This window comes from Homo sapiens, chromosome 9, assembly GCF_000001405.40.
Source record: "Homo sapiens chromosome 9, GRCh38.p14 Primary Assembly".
Taxonomy (NCBI): Eukaryota; Metazoa; Chordata; class Mammalia; order Primates; family Hominidae; genus Homo; species Homo sapiens.
In genome coordinates, this window is record NC_000009.12 from 81,301,986 (window position 1) to 81,304,828 (window position 2,843).

A 2,843-nucleotide genomic window follows, 5' to 3' on the forward strand; every position below is an offset into this window, starting at 1 on the left:
CTATGGTTGACATAAATAGTGATTCCTCTCATGGATCTGGACAAAGTAAATTGAAAACTTTCTGGAAAGGATTCACCATTCTAGATGTCATTAAGAATGTCTGTGATTTACTAAGGCAGGCAGATCGCTTGAGCTAAGGAGTTCAAGAACAGCCTGGGCAAGATAGCAAGGCCCCATCTCAATTTTTTGAAAAAGAATATCTGTGATGTATGGGAGGAGATCAAAATAGCAACATTAACAGGAGTTTAGGGTTGGGTGCGGTGGCTCACACCTGTAATCCCAGCACTTTGGGAGACCAAGGTGGGAGGATCACTTGAGCCCAGGAGTTTGAGATCAGCCTAAGCAACAAAGCAAGGCCCTGTCTCTTCAAAAAAGATGTAAAAATTAGCCAGGCATGATGGTGTACTCCTGTAGTCCTAGAGACTTGGGACGTTGAGACAGGAGTATCACTTAAGCCCAGGAGTCTGAGGCTGCAGTGAACTATGATTGCACCACTGCATTCCAACCTGGGTAACAGAGAAATACTCTATCTCTAAAATAATAATAATAATAAAAACACACCAGAGTTTAGAAGTTGATTCCAACCCTCATGGATGGCTTTGAGGGATTCAAGACTTTAGTAGAGGAAGAATGCAAGACCCTCCTAGATTAAACCAGGAAGATACAGAGTCTCTGGACAGACCGATAGCAAGCAGCGAGATTGAAATTGTAATTTTAAAATTGCCAAAAAAAAAAAAAATCAGGACCAGATGAATTCACAGCTAATTTTATCAGACTTTCAGAGAATAATAGGTACCCAATCCTATTCACACTATTGCAAAAGACAGAGAAAGAAGGAATCCTCCCTAAATTATTATATGAAGCCAGTATCACCCTAATACCAAAAGAAGGGAAGGACATAAGAAAAAAAGGGAATTACAGACCAATATCCCTGGTGAACATAGATGCAAAAATCCTCAACAAAATACTAGCAAACTGAATCCAACAGCATATATCAGAAAGATAATACATCATGATCAAGTGGGTTTTATACCAGGGATGCAGGGATGGTTTAATATATGCAAGTCAATATATATGACTTGTAAAACAAGTTAAAAATTAAAAATTAAAATCTTTTTACATTTTTAATTTTAATTTTGGATTAACTTAAATTAAAATTTTTAATTTTAATTTTAATTAAAAATTAAAAACAAAAATCACATGATCATCTCAATAGTTTCAGAAAAAGCATTAGACAAAATCCAGCATCCCTTTATGATTAAAACTCTCAGCAAAATAGGAATACAAGGGACATACCTTAATGTAATATAAGCCATCTATCACAAACCCACAGCCAACATAATACTGAATGGGGAAAAGTTGAAAGCATTCCCTCTGAGAACTAGAACAAGACTAGGATGCTCACTCTTACCACTCCTGTTCAACACAGTACTGGAAGTCCTGGCCAGAGCAATCAGACAAGAGAAAGAAAGAAAGGGCATCCAAATCGGTAAAGAGGAAGTCAAACTGTCACTGTTTGCTGATATGATCGTTTACCTTGAAAACCGTAAAACCTCCTCCAGAAAGCTCCTAGAACTGATAAAAGAATTATCCAGTTTCCAGATACAAGTTTCCAGATACAAAATTAATGTACACAAATCAGTAGCTCTTCTATACACCAACAGCGACCAAGCAGAGAATCAAATGAAGAACTCAACCCCTTTTACAATAGCTGCAAAAAAAATACTTAGGAATATACCTAATCAAGGAGTCGAAGTATCAACATAACTTTTATATGTACTTGGAAACCAAAATACGTGTGTGACTCACTTTATTGCAGTATTCACTTTGTTGGAGTGCTCTAGAACCAAACCAACAATATCTCTGAGGTATGCCTGCATAGTCAACTGGTATTTCACAAAAGGCCACAGGCAATACAATGAAGAAAAACTTGTCTTTTTAACAAATGGTGCTGGAACAAGTGGGTATCCACGTGCAAAACCTAAAAGACAAATGAAGACTGATTTTAAACTCTTCAGACAAATTAAGTCACAATGGATCACAAACCTAAACGTAAAATGCAAAATTGTCGAGGGCTGGGCGCGGTGGCTCACGCCAGTCATCCCAGCACTTTGGGAGGCAGAGGCGGGTAGATCATGAGGTCAGAAGATCGAGACCATCCTGGCTAACACAGTGAAACCCCATCTCTACTAAAAATACAAAAAATTAGGCGGGGCTTGCAGTGAGCCAAGATCGTGCCACTGCACTCCAGCCTGGGCGACAGAGAGAGACTCTGTCTCAAAAAAATAAATAAATTTTTAAAAATGCAAAATTGTAAAACTCCTAGAAGATAACAGAGGAGAACATCTAGATTACCTTGGATTTGGTGATGACTTTTAAAATGTAACACCAAAGGCATGCTCCATGAAAAAAAGAATAGATATGCTAAATATCATTAATATTAAAAATTTCTGCTCTGTGAAAGACTGTCAAGGGAATGGAAAGACAAGCCATAGACTGGGAGAAAATATTTGCAGAAGACCTATCTGATAAAAGACTGCTATCTTAAAAGGTGGAATATAAATGATATTTTCTTACAGTGTAATTTTCAAAAACAAAAACTATTTTGTCCTGGAGGCAGAAAGGAAAGAAAGAAGGTATTCTTGGAATGAAGGATGAGAATGGACTTCAAGGAGAAGGTGGCATTTACTCTGGTAACAAGCATTTAGATAGCCAGAACCAGAAATGGAAAGAAGAGAAGTGAAAATACTTCTAGTAACAAAAAGGTCTGTAACAGAGAAGAAAGAGTTAGTTATTAGAAGAAACTTGTAACTTCATTTATTTATTATTTGTATGACAACTCA

General features: G+C 37.1%; 1 annotated feature.

The window, feature by feature from the left end:
* Positions 1,800-2,301: an enhancer, noted in NCBI's record as "NANOG hESC enhancer chr9:83918700-83919201 (GRCh37/hg19 assembly coordinates)". NCBI's record gives its function as "activates a minimal SCP1, AML or CMV promoter by ChIP-STARR-seq in naive H9 embryonic stem cells {active_cell/tissue: H9 hESC(naive)}" and the evidence as "EXISTENCE:reporter gene assay evidence [ECO:0000049][PMID:30033119]".